At 37.3% G+C, this 20,342-nt stretch overlaps 1 protein-coding gene and 1 pseudogene across 1 annotated transcript; both read left to right on the top strand.

Moving 5' to 3' along the window:
• Positions 1–20,342, top strand: part of SEC22B4P (SEC22 homolog B4, pseudogene) — a 61,006-nt pseudogene that overhangs the window by 24,085 nt on the left and 16,579 nt on the right.
• Positions 7,713–8,472, top strand: PPIAL4H (peptidylprolyl isomerase A like 4H). Its single transcript, NM_001368128.3, has one exon. The coding sequence runs from the start codon at positions 7,763–7,765 to the stop codon at positions 8,255–8,257; it is 495 nt and encodes a 164-aa protein (NP_001355057.1). The 5' UTR covers positions 7,713–7,762; the 3' UTR covers positions 8,258–8,472.

The following is a 20,342-nucleotide window of genomic DNA, read 5'->3' as shown; positions in this document are numbered from 1 at the left end:
GTCTGCATACCTCTCTGGATTTATGTATTCTCCTTATGCTTGGCCTATGTGGTTCACCTTAGTTTCTATTCAAGTCAGTAATATACTTTTGAAAAATGACATGTACATTTTATCTGGTATTTGTAGATTTCATATAGCAGGATAGTGATTCAGCAAATTTAGTCTACCACAATGCTGGGAATAGAATTCCCCTAATTTTTGAAAACATTATATCAAATCATGTTTATTGCCATTAATAGTCTTATAAATGTGCTTTTAAGTAACTGCATTTTGTCATAGCTCATTGTGATTGTATATTTAACTAGTTCACCCCTACCTCATGTTTTTTGGGAGTGAAGGTTGTACTCAACTCATTATGTTAAGTAATACTACAGTAAACATCAATCTATACATGCATTAATAATGATTTCCAAGAAAGTAGTGACACATGGTCATAATCATCTTTGAGGCTGATGGTACATATTTTCAAATTGCATCTCAGAAATAATATACCAATCTGTGCTCTAATCAGCCGCATATGAAAGTGTCATCTTTCTGTTCTCCAACCAATACAACTACTACTGTTTTTATACCTACAAATCTGACAAAGATGGGAGAAGGGATCTTATAGTTTCAATTTGTATTTCTTTGGTGACCAATGTACTAAATTACTCAATGTACTAAATTACTCTTTTCCTGTTTATCATCCATTTCAAACAAAATGTAAACCATTTTTTAAATTTTTTTATATTAATGCAAATTGTAAATCACTACTTTATTTATTCAACTTCCTAAGCAAAATTATATGTTGTCCCATTTATACATTTTATATTAGATCATTCTGCCTTACATTTATATCCTAAAACTGTCAGAATTATATAATAATTATGAACAGTTGATTATAAATAATGTCTTTATTAGGATATTTCACCATAAATCTAAATTTCATCAATCTTTCTTTAAATATCTCTACACAATGTCCTCTTGTATTATATTAATAATTGCAGATACACTTCTTTTTGCTATTTCTATTAATTCTTTCCTATTCCTATTGTATGTTAGTCTCCCATTTTCTCCCATAAAATAAATAAAAATTTTTCTATCAGATTCTGTGATATATTACTTCTTATTCCCAGCCTTCAACATTTTAAGAATTCAGATTGACCTTTTCTCCCATTCTTATTTCAAGTTATCAGCATGTCGATACTTGGGAAATCTCATCAAGTGTTTAACAGTGCATACCTTACTGATTCATTATTTATTTCAATTTAATCTTTCTTATTTTCATTCAACTTTTTTCTCAGTAATACAACTTTTTCAAGCTTTTTATTTTCTAATGCATTTCTCCAAATAGCAGCCATAACCCTTATATGCCCTCTTTCAATGACAACAACAAAAGTGTGCTAGGCTTCTTGGAAGAAAATAATGATACCAATTTAAGAAGGAGAAAATTGATGTACTGATAAACAAATGGGCATCTTAGGATCATGTTTCTCACAAGTAAGGCAGTTCCAGAAATTCCTAGGACCATAATGGGTTTTATTCTAAATAGGTTAAACATATCACTTAAAAAATTGTTTTCTACAGTTCTCTAATATTGCTTACAATTGTCCACGTTTCCATGTTTATAAACTTGCACTTTTTTTTTTTTTTATGGAGTTTTGCTGTTGTTGCCCAGGCTGGAGCCCAGGCTGGAGTGTAGTGGCGTGATCTTGGCTCACTGCAACCTCCACCTCCCAGGTTCAAGCAATTCTTCTGCCTCAGCCTTCTGAGTAGCTGGGATTACAGGTGCGTGCCACCACACCTGGCTATTTTTTTGTATTTTTAGTAGAGACGGGGTTTCACCATGTTGGCCAGGCTGGTCTCGAACTCCTGACCTCAGGTGATCCACCCGCCTTGGCCTCCCAAAGTGCTGGGATTACAGGCATGAGCCACTGCTCCCGGCCTTATACTTGCACACTTTTTAATTCTAAGACCTTGCTACTCAGTGAGGGATCCTGGGACTAATACCATCAGCTTGACTTGAGGCCGTTTGAAGGCAGACTCAGAATCTGCAATTTATCAGGATCCCCAGGTAATTTGTATGTGCAGTCTAGTTTGGTAGATCTGCTCTGGCAGACTGGAAGACTCTTCTATCTGCCTCACGTAAGGTGCAGGTGACATAATTAGGTAATCAAGCAAAAGATCACATATTTTAATAAGAAAGAGACACTGGCTATTATTTTGAGTGGCAAAACAGGTTATTCAGTCCCAGTTTAAAATGGAAATGACAGAGACCAAGATGAAGATTTTTAATTTGAGATGTGCCTGCGATGCAATTACATTTGCTGAATGAAACTGCTTCAGTAATTAGATGCAGGTTTCTTCTCTCTTCTTTTTGAGATGTAAAGAAGACACAATAGACTCATGGAACTTAAAGAACTAGACGCCAGCTAACAAAACATGCTATCCAGACTCTTCCGTTTCACCATATTGCTTTCTTGAAAACATAGGACAGTGCCAGTTTAGCACTGAAAAAAATCAGTTCTCCTAATTCTAAAAAGAGGAGACAGCCAGGCGTGGTGGGTCACTAAAAATACAAAAAATTAGCGGGCATGGTGGTGCATGCCTGTAATCCCAGCTACTTGGGAGGCTGAGGCAAAAGAATCACTTAAACCCGGGAGGTGAAGGTTGCAGTGTGCTGAGATAGCGCCATTGCACTCTCGCCTGGGCAACAAGAGCGAAACTCCATCTCAAGAAAAAAAAAAAAGAGAGAGAGAGAGAGAGAAACTGTAATTTCATTTCAGAAGTTTTATAGGGTACTATTTCCAATTCTTTTTTTCTTACTCCATTAAAGTGTAATTAGCAGTATGTGAAAATTTCCACTTTATCCTCAATCAGAAGCCTCTCCTTCCAATTAGCATATATTTTTTCTATTAACTTTGTAAAGTGGGATTCTTGTTTTATACATACCCCTGGAAAGTATACTTAAACTGTGAGACCCTGGGATTTTATATTTCCAAATAGAAGATACCATCCTCTTGTATCACAAAATGTACCTAAGATGGTTTGGATTATATTTAAATATTCTTGAATGAAATAGACTTACTGACTGAAGCCAATTATTATATTTTTCCACACCAAAATAAATGCAATAGGAAAAGATGAAAGTTCTATGTAGTATTCCTGCTTCCATATTGCACAAATTAGAAACATACATATTCCATTATGTTACAGGGTCTAGGGCTTTGGGAGGACAAGGCTGCAGGCAGCCGAGATTGTGCCGCTGCACTCCAGCCTGGGCGACAGAGTGAGACCTTTTCTCAATAATAATAATAAAAGTAAAAAGAAATATAATATTTAATCAATATATGCACACACATGGGTTTATCATGACACACATGACATGTGTGTACACTGAAAAAAATGAGTAAATCTAGAAACCTGTATTGCCTCAATAGCTAGCTAAGTACTTCAATATGCATGTTTATTTCAACAATTTTGTGTTAAGCTTCAGTGGTAAATAAGCAGAGTACACTGACCATAATGAATACTTCTTTTGATGAGGGTTATCACTACACAATTAAAATATTACATAGTTGGCTGGGCACGTTGGCTCACACCTATAATCCCAGCACTTTGGGAGGCCGAGGCAGGCAGATCACCTGAGGATGGGAGTTCAATACCAGCCTGACTAACATGGAGAAACCCCTTCTCTATTAAAAATACAAAATTAACCAGGCGTGGTGGCACATGCCTGTAATCCCAGCTACTCAGGACGCTGAGGCAGGAGAATCACTTGAACCTGGGAGGCAGAGGTTGTGGTGAGCCGAGATAGCGCCATTGCACTCCAGCCTGGGCAACAAAAGCAAAACTCCGTCTCAAAAAAATATATAATAATAAATATATATATATTATATATAATCAATATAAATATAATATGTATTATACATATAATAAATATATATATTATATATAATAAATATATCATATAGATGATATAGTTTAGAGTTAAATACTGACTGCTCTTGGGAACTTTGAGGTATTCTGAGGGATATAAATAACACGAAGAGAATAGCACATTGGCTTGAAGCAGATTAGAGTCTGCTACCTGCGTGAATACTTGCTTTTCATGAACTATGAGGATGCCCTTAGCTTTTGAACCACTTCTACTTGTGTTGAAATTTACCCTTTAATTTTGGGGTTTGACAGGCTCTGCCCTTCTGTTATGCTTGAGTCTGGCTTTTCCTACTCTGACTCACTTTGATTCTTGACCTCTGAATCTTATTCCTGTTTTACAATAAACACACATCGCACATACGCCAATTAGTAGAGTGGAAGAGGGAAAAATTGCCAAGGAACTATGTTTAATTTTGTTCCTTTCGCAAACCAGACACCATAACAGAAAAATTTTAGGAACATGTGCATGTTCAGTAGCCTTCAATGCAATTATACTGGTTATTAAAAAGTGTTGGATAATCAATATTTTTTAAAGATTCACTAGTCCCTTCTGATAATTTTAGAACTTTGGGAAGTAATAATACAAATGTATTTTTAGCTGTGTCCTTTAATCTTTTACTGTTTCCTCTATGTGTGGTGTTTGGTTTGTGTGTGTGTGATAATTATTATAAAAATCAGAGGCTAACAGAGGTGTTATTCACGAACTTTTAAATTTTTTTTATTTTTATTTTTTTTAGTTTTTTTAAGAGACAGAGTCTCGCGGTGTTGCCAAGGCTGGATGCAGTGGCGCCAACTCAGCTCACTGCAACCTCCGCCTTCAGGGTTCAAGCGATTCTGCTGCCTCAGCCTCCCAAGTAGCTGGGACTGCAGGAGGGCACCACGATGCCCCACTAATTTTTGTATTTTTAGTAGAGATGGGGTTTCACCATATTGGCCAGGCTGGTCTTGAACTCCTGACCTCATGATCCGCCCACCTCAGCTTCCCTAAGTGCTGGGATTACAGGTGTGAGCCACCGCGTCTGGCTGCATGACCTTTTAACTTGTCTCATACACTCAATATTCTCAAGATATACCTTCCAAAGTGAAAAATTATGGCACTTTGCAGCCCTGACCACTAACTGAGAACTTTGATGCTTTGGATTTTGGAGACCTCATTTTATCACCTGGTCCTTTTACTTCATGACTTGTCATGCTGCCACCTTTTGATGGGATTGAGATCAAGATAATAATTCCCAACTGGTCAGGAATATTGTGCCCCTTTGTTTTTATATCCAGATGCAATAGAGCCTCTGACACACCACTACTATTGTTCTTAGGATTTGGAACAAAATGCTTCTTTCTTTGACAAAATAAATGTTTTCTTTAAAGAACTCTTGATTGATCCTGGACCATTGTAGAAACTGAAGTCCTATCAATGCAAAAAAATATGACAACATGAGCTGCTTATCATGAAATAAGTGTTTTCCAATTAACTATCCTGCTTCATCAGCAGGTAGGAATAATAGAATCTATACCTATGTCTTCATGGGAAGTTCTCTATGGCCAGTTGATTAGTGAGGGAAAAATTGAGCCTGATTTACAGAAGTCACTGTACAACATCACAGCAGCAGCCAAAAGTAGATTGCTTAGGCATTATAACCTACGTGAATGCAATTTTAAAAGAAATTCAGCCTATGTAATTGGTTGTCCACGATGTCTAGAAGGAGAGATATTATTGATGTATATGTGGCAGCTAATAATTTGTCTAGATAATTAGGGACTTGGAGCCAGGCCTGATGGCTCACACCTGTAATCCCAGAACTTTTGGAGGACAAGACAGGTGGATTGTCTGAGGTCAGGAGTTCGAAACCAGCCTGGCTGACATGGTGAAACTCCGTCTCTACTAAAAATACAAAAATTAGCCAGATGTGGTGGTGTGTGCCTGCAATCCTAGCTACTTGGGAGGCTGAGGCAGGAGAATCTCTTGAATCCAGGAGGAAGAAGTTGCAGTGAACCAAGATTGCACCACTGCACTCCAGCCTGGGCAACAAAGCGAAACTCTGTCTCAAAAAAAAAAAAAAAAAAAAAGAAAAGAAAAGAAAAGATAATTAGGGACTCGGAAAGACAAAGACTGAAGGATTGGTGGCAATGAGTTTTGGGGAAAAAATATGTAGATGAACCACAGAAAATGAGCCAGAGTGTAAGAATATTTGTGCTTAATACGAATGCTCACCAAACTATCATCAGGAAGGTTATCAAATAGATATGAAGGTATGAAACAATCTCTTTCACCAGGCACTACATTGCTTGCTCAGAAGGCTAATAAACAGCAACATTGGTGGTAGCAGTAGAGAATACACATAGGTTTAGCAACATGTTGGACTTTACCACTCTCGCTTACAAAAGCCTATTTAGCTGTCAAGACTATTAGGTGTCCAACACACAAGCAACAAAGTCCAAGGCTAAGCACACAATAACATATCCTGGGTGAATAAACCAGTCACCTTTTGTCAGACTTGTTGATTTTATTGGAGCTCCTCTATGATAAAGGCAACAAGGAATTTTGTAAATGGAATCTACCTTTATCCTTGAATTACATTTGCTTTACCTGACATCATTTTTCTCTGATCGCCACTCTCCACGGGTACATTGAATGCCTTATATATACTGCCATAATATCCTGTTCTACATCCTTCTATTAAAAGAACTTGTTGTATAACAAATGAGTAGATATTCATTGGACTCACCTGGTCTGCCATTTATCCTATCACTAACCAAAATTATTATTATTATAGAATGGTGAATATTTTATTAAAGACTCAATCACAGTGCCAGCTGGAGACAATGGCTTATAAGGTTGTACTCATGCTAGAGGATGTGGTGGTGTATCCTCTGAACTAGTAACTAAGTATAAGCTTGTCTGGTGTCTCCCATATAAAAAATACAACAATCTTTGATATTTGTTATGAATGTTGAAGTGACTCCTTTTGTCATTACATCTAATGATCCACTCCAAATACTTGTCTCTTGTCTCTGAGATTCTAGGTTTTTGCAGAATTAGTACCCAAAGGGAGAGTCTTAGCAGTATTCCATTTTACAATCCATCCTTCGTTAGAGGATGAGAGACTTCTATCTAGCCTTTTAGGTTGCCTGAGACCTTTAAACAAACAGTCAAAAATTTAAAATTTAAAATGCGGCTACACTGTTGCATGGGGTAGTAAATCTTGACCTTAAAACTGGTATTTGTAAGAAAAACAGAAAGAATTCAGGGATCCCCTTTGATGGCTCCTAATTCTATACAGTCCTGTAAATATTCCTGAAGACTAACCAGGTGTGGTGGTGCACACCTGTAATCCCAGCTACTCCAGAGGCTGAGGAAGAGAATCACTTGAACCTGGGAGGCGGAGGTTGCAATGAGCTGAGATTGTGCCACTTCACTCCAGCCTGGGTGACAGAGCAAGACTCTGTCTCCAAAAAAAAAAAAGAAGAAGAAAGAAAGAAAGAAAGAAAGAAAGAAAGAAAGAAAGAAAGAAAGAAAGAAAGAAAGAAAGAAAGAAAGAAATGAAGACTGCCAAAGCTTGGAAGCAACCAAGATGTCCTTCAATAAGTGACTGCATAAGCAAACTGTGGTATATTCCTACAGTGGAATATTATTCAGTGCTAAAAGGAAAAAACTATCAAGCCACAAAAAGATACAGAAAAAACAAAGACATTTTGCTAAGTGAAAGAAGCCAGTCTGAAAAGGGTACATACTGTGATTTCAACTATACGACATTCTGGAAAAGGCCAAACTATAAAGACAGTAAAAAGATCAGTGGTTATCTTTGCAGACGCCACCATCGCTGTGAGCCCTGTACTATCAGCCATGGTCAACTCCGTCGTCTTTTTTGACATCACCGTCGACGGCAAGCCCTTGGGCCGCATCTCCATCAAACTGTTTGCAGACAAGATTCCAAAGACAGCAGAAAACTTTCGTGCTCTGAGCACTGGAGAGAAAGGATTTCGTTATAAGGGTTCCTGCTTTCACAGAATTATTCCAGGGTTTATGTGTCAGGGTGGTGACTTCACACGCCCTAATGGCACCGATGACAAGTCCATCTATGGGGAGAAATTTGATGATGAGAACCTCATCCGAAAGCATACAGGTTCTGGCATCTTGTCCATGGTAAATGCTGGACCCAACACAAATGGCTCCCAGTTATTCATCTGCACTGCCAAGACTGAGTGGTTGGATGGCAAGCATGTGGCCTTTGGCAAGGTGAAAGAACGTGTGAATATTGTGGAAGCCATGGAGCACTTTGGGTACAGGAATAGCAAGACCAGCAAGAAGATCACCATTGCTGACTGTGGACAATTCTAATGAGTTTGACTTGTGTTTTATTTTCACCACCAGACCCATTCATTCTGTAGCTCAGGAGAGCACCCCTCCACCACATTTGCTTGCAATATCCTAGAATCTTTGTGCTCTTGCTGCAGTTCCCTTTGGGTTCCATGTTTTCCTTGTTCCCTTCCATGCCTAGCTGGATTGCAGAGTTGAGTTAAGTTTATGATTATGAAATAAAAACTAAGTAACAACAACAACAACAAAAAAGCTCAGTGGTTGCCAGGAGTTTGGGGATGGGTAGGGAGATAAATAGTTCTGAAACAGGCGATTTTTAGGGGATTGAAAATACGTTGGTAATAATGTAATGATGGGTACATGACATTATGCGTTTTGCAAAACTCCTAGACCTGTACCACACAAAGAGTGAACCCTAATGTAAACTGGGGGTGGGATAAAGGTGACAGTATGTGAGAACTCTGTACTTTCTGCTCGATCTTTCCATAAAGCTAAAACTGCTCAAAAAATAAAGTCTATTATTTTGTTAAATGAAAGAAATTAACAATGACCATGGCACGCTCACACAAAAAGATTACCAAGGACATTTCTCTGTCAGGAATGAATATTTGGTCATCTCACAAGGCAAAACCCTGACTAGCAGAGGTGTTAGCTGAGGGCACATGGCCATAGATGCCAATAGTGACCTGCTGGCCACTTGCAGAAAGGAGAGCCTTGACATCCAAACACATTGTTTCTCTTGTATTGTCCTGTGCATACTTATGTATCTTAACAACTTTCCTTCCTTCCTCTCCATTTATCCCTCTTTTTAAAACAGGGCTTATTGAGGGTGATTAACTTAATTTTTAAATGATATATGGCAGAATGTCAAGAGAGTATAGTGAAGAACTTCGTAGAGGAATGGACATAACCCAGAATTCTTAGACTTAGAGTACATGGTGTGATTGAGAATTTTTTATTGTTTCATTGTTCAAGAGATTGTAGGTACATGTTCAATTATTAGAGAAATAGTTGCACTCTGTTAGAAGGAAGCTTGGGTCTTTCGTGTTTACTTTCAAAAGGGAAAGTTTATATTGATATTGAGCAAGTTAAAGCATGAATATTTATTATTTGATGTTTGTTTCTGTGTTTGAGGAATTCCTCAGCCTCTCAGTTTTGACGAAAACAAGAAACCACCTCCTGCTTTAGAAGCTAAAATGCCAAATGCTTGCTTTCTCAGCCTCCTTTGCAGCTAGGGTACAAGCATATGACTTAGGTTTTGCCAATCTGTTTGCCAGTGCTGAATTTCGACTTTGGAATTAATAAAAAAAGAAGCAGATTCAGTTATGCTTTCTCTTGTTTCTGGTGGAGGCCATGTAGCAGCTGCTACAATATCTGTTGCAAAGCGAACAAGTGGGAGTGGTGCTGGTGGCTTTGCAGTTAGCCTAGGATTGAGCAATTGCTGCAATTGTTGCTCTCTGCATCTTCGGTGTTACTTCTTACTGGTGGTGACAGTGGTTTCCTCCCTGGATGAGTTCTACAGCATGGTTTGGGGTACATTTCCTGGCTGCCTAGCTTTGATCTGGCTCTCTAGCCTTCTCAACAGTTCTACAAGTTCCCCACTATTTCTGTGATAAACCTATTTATTGTTAATGTCAGCCATAATTGGCTTCTGTGGTTTATATTTTTTAAAATTCCAAGATATACCAACGTAACAGATAGCTCAACAAACATATGTCTTTTTAAATTAAGATATATTCTGTGTCACATGAAGTACAATGGACAAAATGCAACAAATTGAATTGAGCTAAAGACCAAATATATATTAAGCCTGGCTGGTCTTAAAAATGTAACTGGATACAGCCAGGCATGGTGGCTCACGCCTATAATCCCAGCACTTTGGGATCCTGAGGTGGGCAGATCACCTGAAGTCAGGAGTTTGAGACCAGCCTGGCCAGCATGGTGAAACCCCATCTCTACTAAAAATGCAAAAATTAGCTGGGTGTGGTGGTATGCCCCTGTAATCCCAGCTACTCAGGAGGTTGAGGCAGGAGAATCACTTGAACCTGGGAGGCAGAGGTTGCAGTGAGCCGAGATCATGCCAATGCACTCCAGCTTTGGCAACAGAGCGAGACTTTGTTTCAAAGTAAAAAAATAAAAATAAAAAAATAAAAACGTAACTGGATAGACCTAAGGTTCTTGAATAAGCAGAAAATAATTTAGGTAAAAACCAAATAATAAACTAACATTCTGAAAGGTTTAGGATTTAGAGGCCCAAATGTCTTAGCTAAAAGTGTTCATTCTAACCTCACAGGAAAATTGAAATATGAAAATATACAGAAAAATCTTAGGCAGTATTTATCAATTTTAAGAAACAACTATTTACAGGTTTTTCAATAGGCATTACATTAAAAATGAAATATATAGTTAATAAATATGAAAACTGTGGATATAATCAACACATTTATTTTACTTCTTGAAGTGTTAACATGTGCTGTCTCAAATATCAACAGTGTACACGTGAGAAAAAACATTTTACATAGATTTTCTGCGACAGAAAACAGCATCTCATTAGACATCCCAAGTTTTTTCATTTGGAACACACACCCATTCCCCAGTATATTAGGGGTAATAATAATTTAAAGAGTTTAATTACTTTTTACTACTAGAAAACTAATTTTATGTTTGGCACAAATTTCTGAAATGATATTCCACTGCAAAGAATAATACCTATATATGGCCAGAATTACTTTTTTTCTATAACATTAAGATAATACTTGTCAGCCTGAGCAACAAAGTGAGACCTCATCTTTACAAAAAATAAATAAATTAGATGGGTGTTTTGGTGATGAGGGTCTGTAGTCCCAGATACTCAAGAGGCTGAGGTGGGAGGATCCCTTGAGCCTAGGAGGTCGCGGTTGCAGTGAACTATGATTGCACCACTGCACTCCAGCCTGGGTAACAGAGCAAGATCCTGTCTCAAAAAAAAAAAGATAATATTGGTATAATTCAGGGTTTTTGCCTCAATCCCCATGCTTCTTCATTTGACCTTCCCTGACTCCCTGATGAATTTTAGTTTGAATTTTTGCTATAGTCCAGAAGTTAATTTAAAAGATCTTAAAATTTCCACCTGCCTAGATATTACTTATTTGTTACACTTTAGTCCATGATTTCTATTGTCATTTACATTACCCCAAAAATATGACCTGCTGAATTTCTGCTGTCATGAATTGACTAACATATTTTGGGCCTAAAACCTTTACATTTAGAATCTTTTTGTTTCGTATTGGAAAATATTGTAAGTCCTCCATTTATTGGTCAAAAGCACTGCCTATTTATTTCCATGCTTAATCAGAGAGACTTTCTAATAGTTATTTAATATTATTTACGTTCATTCACTTGTTGACTATAATGACGTTAGTTGCTATGATATTTTTAGGTCATTAATATAATAAAAATATGTCAACTTTTCTCTTCCAATGTGTCTTTGGGTTATTAATTTTTAACTCAGGTATCAAGCTTGTAAAATGTTTAATGGCTTATAATAATGTCTAACACATAGTATCCACTGAGTTCTGATAACTCCGGTTTATCAAATTCTCTTTTTTTGTACCATTCTCCAAATGCAATGCTATTTGGTTTTATTTTTATTTTTTAAAAATGTGCTGCCTGTTTTGAGTCTCTAAAAGTGTGAAATGCTCAGCATTTCCCAAATGTATTTGAACATGGAGTGTTATATTTACTAAAAAGTTAACAAGCAAGTATTCCCCTAAACACTCTAGCAAATACTACTAGTACAGACAAATTATGATGTAACGTTATAGTACATTTTAACTTATTAGGTTAATTTTGGTTGCAAACAATCAAAATTCAAAATGGCTTGTATAATAAAGAGATTTTGAACAATAGTATAGGCTCAAGATAGTTTAATGCAGAAGTTTAATAATGACACAAAATAAATGCTTCTTGTCCTCCCTGTTTCTTCACTCTACCTTAAGTGATATAGATTGAATGTTTGTAGTCCCCCAAAATTTGTATGTTTAAATCTAATCCCTAGTGTGATGATATTTGGCAGTGGGTCTTCGGGGGGTGATTAGGTCATGAGGACAGAGCCCTCATGAATGGGATTAGTGCCCTTATAAAAGAGACCTTAGAGAACTTCCTAGCCCCTTCCACCATGTGAGGACACAGCAAAAAGACAGCTGTCTGTGAACCAGGAAACAAATCCTCATTAGACCCTGAATCTGTTGACACCTTGATCTTGGACTTCCTGGCCTCTAGAACTGTAAGAAATAAATTTATGTTGTTCATAAACCATCCAGGCTGTGATATTCTGGTATAGCGACCTGAAAGGACTAAGACATTAGGTCTCAGTTTTATTCTATGGCTTAAAATATCATGTCATGAGTAGACAACTTCCAATCCTAGTACCTCGTGCTTCCTCTGCTGCATTTGGAAAGAAGGCATTTCCCTCTTCAATCATGGAATGAAAAAGTTGTACTTCATTCTGATTTGATTAGCAGAAGGCACAGGTTCCTTCCATGCACCAATTACAATGACCAAGAATTGGGCATGGGACTCATGTCACTTAAACATTGTGAAGCTGAGAAATTCATTATTTGGTTAGGAGTGTGTGAGAGCAGGGAACACTGAATGCTTGAGACACCACCACGATGTCCACTACATGTATTTCCATTTCAGTAAACATTTCCATTAAGATAATGCTAGAACAAAATCAGAGGGGTAGATCTTGGTGTCCCCAACTTTTGTTGACCTAACAAAGTGAAGTTGCTTCAACTGGACACTTCTGAACCACATTTATGCCTATATGTTCAGTTCAAATCTATTATAAGCAATTTTCAGGTCCATATGTTTAGGATATTTCATTTGTTTGGTTATGCATTATATGTATACATGTTTTTAACATACATACGCCTCTACATATATTTTGGAGGCCTTTACACAAAAGTGTTTTCCCTAAAGGGAGAAGAGAAAAGTTGAATGCAGAAGTAGAAAAAAAAATTCATTTGCACTTGTAGTATTTATAGCTAAATATTTTACATTACAGATGTATTAAAATTTTTATAATTTTAAACACTACTTTAAAACAGGGAGATGGTTTACCTTCAAAAAATTTGGCTCTCAACTCAAAGTTATCAAAGTATATCCTAGATGTAGTTTGCTTGTCAGGCTTCTACATGAAAATCTAAAATGCTCCTGCATTTCAGAATGAGCCTAACATATGTAATTGCACTCATCCACTATGTCTACATTGCCAACCAAATACTGACAGAGAGAGCTAGAGTGCCACAGAGAGCTGGCAGTTCCTCTGTTTGCATTAGCTTCTACTTGCTTCTTCATCTTTCCTCTATGTCTGACACATTTCATGTTACTGTTTTTAAATGTTCCCTTAGCTACAGAGCTAATGTGCTTATATCTGTAAGGGGTCTCATGTGAACCTCTAAATAATTAAAGATTCATTAGCTCCCTGGAGGGCCACCATGATTTCCAAAACAAGTCACAATACCTAAAGATCTAATTGTACAATTTCCCTCAGAAATAGCCTTGAGAAAGAAGTCACATCACTCAGCAATGAGTATTATAATTACTCACAGCAGTTTTCATGGTACTATATAACATCCAATTTACAGAAGTAAAGGTAATGTAATTCGAAAGAAAAATAGCTGGTTTTAAGGAATGAAGGGCCATGTCAACTATTGGAAGCATCTTTGAACTGGAGCCTCTATGTTCGGGTTTCACCAGGTTTATGTTTTTAATTAATATCCTATTCAGCTTGCTGTAATTTCCATTGAGGTTTTCTAGAACAAGACAAGTCAGAAATTGATCTTTAATTATAAGCTAAGAGCAAACTGCCAAAGAACTGAGAGAAATTTTGAAGAAACAGGTCTATCAGGACTAACCATTTTAAGATAATAAAGACTAATCAGACACACACACATATGCACAAAAAGAGGGAGAGAGAGAACAAAAATCCTATGAAATACATTTTAAAAACTTAATTTTTTTAAGAAGAAGCATTTGATCTGCCAAAGAGAAGAGTTAGCAGTTTGGAGATCTGACATTGCTAATCTCAGGGCAAGAAAATAACAAAATAAGACACCAAAGAATTACCTAAACTGTGGAAGATGAAGCTTTCAGAGTTCTCACAGAGAAATGGGATACTAAAGTACCAAGTTTAAGAGGTGTAATCTATTAATGTTTAATTTATGTCCCAAATACTTAAAAACTATGTTTCATTGTTATACATATTTATTTTATTATAAAGATAATGAATGCAGTAGGGTTAGATTTAAATAATTCATTGGGTTTAAAATGAGAAATGAAAGTCTGGCTTTTTACAACCTACAGTCTTATCACCAAAGTTAGCTATTGTTAATAACTTCTTGTCCATTCTTGTATGTGTTATGGTTTCTTTCTTAGAAAGAAGTATGCTATACTAGTATACATGCTATTTATTCATGAACCTTGCACTTATCATGTAATCATATGTCTTAGTGGTCTTTTCATAATAGATGTCTCTCTTTCCCACGCTGTCAGTGGTGATTGCATGAGGCATTGTACAGACGTACCAATAATTACTTACTCTGTGTCATATTGTTGGTTATTCAGATTGTTTTCACTTTGCCCTTGCAGACAACACTGCAACGAACATCCTTATGCATATCTTATTCCAAATACATCATCGTGATGGCTGTGTGAGAGAAATATACATTGTTGATTTTATTTTTTTATTTTTTATAATTTCAACTTTTGATTTTAGATACAGTGGGTACATGTGCAGGTTTGTTACATGGGTATGTTGTGTAATGCTGAGGTTTGCGGCATGATTGATCCGATCACTCAGGTACTAGGCATAGTAGTTGTTTTTCAACCTTTACCCCCTCCCTCCTTCTACCCTCGAGTAGTCCCCAGTTTCTATTGTTCCCATCTTTGTGTCCACGTGTACTCAATGTTTAGCTCCTGCTTATAAGTGAGAATATGTGGTATTTGGTTTTCTATTCCTGTGTTAATTCGCTTAGCATAATGGCATCGAGTTGCATCCATGTTGCTGTAAAGGACATGATTTTATTCTTTTTTATGGCTGCAAAGTATTCCATGACATATATGTACCATATTTTCTTTATCCAAGCCACAGTTGATGGGCACCTAGGTTGATTCCATGTCTTAGCGATTGTGAATTACACTGCTGATTTTAATAGAAACCACTAATTTTTATGCCAAAAAAATCATCAATGTGCACATGCTCCAAGGCTGTGTGAGCATAGCCCTTTTTCTTGGGATGTCAACAACACTGGGTTTTATCAAAATATAATTTTTGCCAATTTATTAGTTAACAAATGCTAACTCAGTGCTACTTGGATTTGAACTACCACTGCTGCTGAGCAACTTTTTACATATTCACTGGCAATTTATTTATCTTTCTCTGTTGTTTATCTTTTTCTGTGTAATAATTTTCCCTATTTCTACTCTTTTAAACATTAAGGTTTCACTGTTTTTTTTTTTTTTTTTTTTTTTTTTGAGACGGAGTCTCGCTCTGTCGCCCAGGCTGGAGTGCAGTGGCGCAATCCCGGCTCACTGCAAGCTCCGCCTCCCGGGTTCACGCCATTCTCCTGCCTCAGCCTCCCAAGTAGCTGGGACTACAGGCGCCCGCCACTATGCCCGGCTAATTTTTTGTATTTTTAGTAGAGACGGGGTTTCACCGTTTTAGCCGGGATGGTCTCGATCTCCTGACCTCGTGATCCGCCCGCCTCGGCCTCCCAAAGTGCTGGGATTACAGGCGTGAGCCACCGCTCCCGGCCTCACTGTTTCCTTAATAATTTTTAAGTTTAAAAAGTGACCTTTTGGCTGGGCGCAGTGGCTCACGCCTGTAATCCCAACACTTTGGGAGGCCAAGGCGGGTGGATCACAAGGTCAGGAGATCATGACCATCCTGCCCAACATGGTGAAACCCCGTCTCTGCTAAAAATACAAAAATTGGCTGGGGTGGTGGCATGTGCCTGTAATCCCAGCTACTCGGGAGGCTGAGGCAGAAGAATCACTTGAACCAGGGAGTTGGAGGTTGTAATGAGCCAAGATCACGCCACTGTGCTCCAGCCTGGCGACAGAGCGAGACTCCGTCTCAAAAAAAAAGTGACCATTTTATCTGCTGCATATAATTCTAATGATATTTCTCAATTTGTTTATCTTTTAACAATGGTAATATATAATGTCTTGCTATTTAGAAAGATTTTTAAAATTATTTTACATAAAGAAATTTTTATTCTTTGCCATTAATACTTGCAGGTTTGGAATTTTCAGGACCTCCTCAAAGGCCACCTACAGGAAATGCTCTTCAAAGACATTTCACTTTTTCCCCACTTGATTGTGGAGCAAAGGCTAACACTGGCAATGCTTTGAAGTACTTGAGTCAAATGGGCCTCTCATGTGGTCATTACTATACTCACTCTTAGGCTCCAATGCAAATTGTTTGCTTACACCAACTACTCTTGCTTTCCTTTAATAGACCTATTCCTCCTGGGCTGTCTGAAACTAACATTTCATTGTAAATAAAGTCCTGCAAGTCCTTGGTATCTCAAAGAACCCTCCTTCCATTTAGTTTTAGGAAAACTCTCCTCCTAAAACTCTATTCTTGTCCCTGGAGTCCAGATCCCCATTCCTTGCAACAAATGAACTCTTGATTTGAACACTGAAGGGAGATAATTGGAAGTTTGACTTTGTGTTCTAGGTTTTCCCTGCCAATATATGCAGCGTCTTTAAAACTAATTGGGCTGAGGCAGGAGAACTGCTTGAACCCAGGAGGAGGATGTTGCAGTGAGCCGAAATTGCACCATTGAACTCCAGCCTGGGTGATAGAGCAAGGCTCCATCTCAAAAAAAAAAAAAAAAAAAACAGCAAAAAGAAACTAATTAGGTTCAAGAAGTTTGAATGAATTCAACTTAAACAAGCTCTTAAGCAGACATGTTGGAAGTTCCAGAAAAGACAGTTTGGGAAAATATTTTATTAAAAAAAAAAAAAAAGACTGTCCTCCACTTCCTCACTCTTTCTTCCCACTTATTTTCACTCCACTGGTGCAGTTTGGTGTCAACTCTCCTCACTCTACTGAAACTGCTGCAGCCGAGGTTACTAGTTATTTAATTAACAAAAGCAATAGATTTTGTTTTTTTTAATTGCATTATACTCTACTATTTTTTGACATTTAAACTATTGACAATGTCTTTCTTGAAAATGTGTCCTTTTTGTTTTTTTCAAAACACGACTTTCTCCTTGATGTCCTCCTTTTTCTCTCATTATTTCACCTTTACATTCTCTGCTGACACCTTTCACCTTACCAAACCTTAATTAAATGTGTATGCTTCCCAGTCTCCCGTTCTTGGCTCTCTTCCCTTCCCTCTTATTGATCATTATTGTATTCTGTGATCTCACCAATTCTCTTGGCTTTAACAATAACCAGATGACTCCAGAAAACTATTCAAAATTCCGGACCTATGGAGACTTTGCACCCAGATATGTACCAACAACTCAACCTCAGTTATCTCTAATATTATCTCATTAAGTGCCCTCTAACTACAGAATGACTCCTCCTTCTGGGTTTCCTCTGCCTGAATGGCACCACCATTCAGTGGCCCACGACAAATGTGGACCTCATTTGGAACTTCTCCCTTTCCCTCATGTTTCATTTTCTCTTGGCTAAAGAGTTATTAGATTCTTCATTTTTAGCTTTTCTCTAGCCTATCTTCAATTTTATAGTGGACAGTTATGTATACCCTATATCCCAGGAGAGAAGGGATATCTTCTTCTATGCCCCTACTATGAACTAGCATATCCTTTGAGTCCTTTCTTTGTATGAAGCACTGGGGAAATTTAATCAACTTCATAATCACTTATAATCCTCACAGTAATTTTATGAGATAAGTTCTATTTATTATCCCTACCTTAAGGATGAGGAGACTGTGGTTTAAAGAGCTTAAGTAATTTGGGCAAATCATAAAAGAAGCAGTGAAGACAGAATTCAAATCTAGGCAACCTGAAATCTGAGCCTGAGCACTTTGCCTCCCTAATAACTATCTCCCTTTGAGAGTTGTATTACAAAGTTGACAACATTTAGCAACCCTTATTCCCCTCCCCACCCCTATCTCTCTCCAAGAAATCTGCTGTGAGGTAGAGAATGTGTTGATTTTCTCTGCAGTTTTTAGTGCATAGCATAGGGCTTAGAAAGGAGAAAATGATGAAAAATATTTATTAAAATAATTGTTTTTCTTTGATAGTTGTTATAACCATCTAATTGTGAGTGCTTAACAATTACTATAAAGGAGAATGGAAATCACAGATCTTTTCACAGAATTTTTTTTTTTTTTTTTTTTTGAGTCAGAGTCCAGCTTGTCACCCAGGCTGGAGTGCAGTGGTGTGATCTCAGCTCACTGCAACCTCCACCTCCTGGGTTTAATCACTTGCCTTGGCCTCCTGAGTAGCTGAGATTACAGGCGTGCACCCCCACGCCTGGCTAATTTTTGTATTTTTGGTAGAGATGGGGTTTCACCACATTGGCCAGGCTGGTCTCAAACTCCTGACCTCCAGTGATCCACCCATCTCAGACTCCCAAAGAGCTGGGATTATAGGCTTGAACCACTGTGCTGGGCCTTTCTTAGAGAATTTATAGTTTACCTGGAAATGTAAACCATATGTACTTAAACTGAGGGATATTTACAAAAGAGCTTTCTACTTAACCCACAAGAAGCTATATTAATAACAAAGCAAATCAAGCTTGTTCACAGGCAACTGAATGGAATGAATGGTTTTGATTGGTCTTGCCAGTTATATTTCTAACAAGAGAAAATTCAATGTGAGCCTCATTTGGAAACAAGATATTACAGAGAGGAAAATTTGGGATTAAGGTCAGATTTGGTGCAACTATGCTAGATACAGAAAAGGCAAACTTTCAGCTCAATCCCCAGCTAAGTACAAGTTCAATGGTGAAGGCATAAGAAAATGAGCCATTATAATAAGTCTGAAATAAGTTTATGATTCCACCTCAATATGGGCATGCAATATATTCTAACATTTAATCCCTGGAAAAAATGATGACATCACACTGAAATCTTGACTCATAAGAGAACTTTTTTATGCTGTTCCCTAAGTCAGTTTATTTCTACTTCATTCTTGTGTTAAGGGTAGGCTCAATTCTTACTCATTCAAAAACGGTATCACCTGAAGCTTTTCTTTAATTCTTGTTTTCTCTGCAGTGAGAAAATTAATCAAGGGGTTAAAATGTATATTAAATTATATATGTATTATATATAAAAGTTATATAATATAGATCAGAGAAGAATATATTGCATATGTTATAGGCTGAATTGTGTCCTTTCCCCAAATTAATATGCTGTACCCTGCCCCCTGCCATCCCAGTATATCAGAAGGTGGCTATATTTGGAGATAGAGACTTTTAAGAGGTAACTAATGTAAAATGAGGTCACATGTCTGGGTCCTAATCCAATATCACTGGTGTCCTTATTTGAAGAGGAAATTTAGGTACAGACATACATGTGCACAGAAAAAAGTCCATGAGAAGACAAGATGAGAAAATGACTATCTAAAAGCCAAGGAGAGAAATTTCAGAATAAAATTAACATATCTGATGCCTTGACCTCACACTTCTAGCCTCCAGAACTGTGAGAAAATAAATTTCTGTTGTTTAACTCATCCAGTCTGCAGTAATTGTTATAACAACCCTAGCAAAGTAATATAGGAAGTATATATATATATATATACACACATACATATATATATATACACATATTTGTGTGTGTGTGTGTGTATATATATATATATATATATATATATATATGTGATAGAGTAGATAGATAGAGACATATACAGTCATCCCTCAGTATTAGTGGGGTATTGCATTCAGGAGCCCTGCATATACCGAAGTCTGCACATACTCAGGTCCCACAGTCAACCTTGCAGAGCTCGCATATGAAAAGTTGGCCCTCCACATATGTGGGTTTCACGTCCCACAAATACTATATTTTCAATCTGTATTTGGCTGAAAAAATCCACCTATAAGTGGACTCACACAGTTTAAACCAGTGTTATTCAAAGGTCAACT

The sequence above is a fragment of the Homo sapiens genome, chromosome 1, assembly GCF_000001405.40.
Source record: "Homo sapiens chromosome 1, GRCh38.p14 Primary Assembly".
NCBI classification, from domain to species: Eukaryota; Metazoa; Chordata; class Mammalia; order Primates; family Hominidae; genus Homo; species Homo sapiens.
Note: the sequence above shows the minus strand (reverse complement) of the source record. Positions and strands in the feature narration are given on the sequence as shown.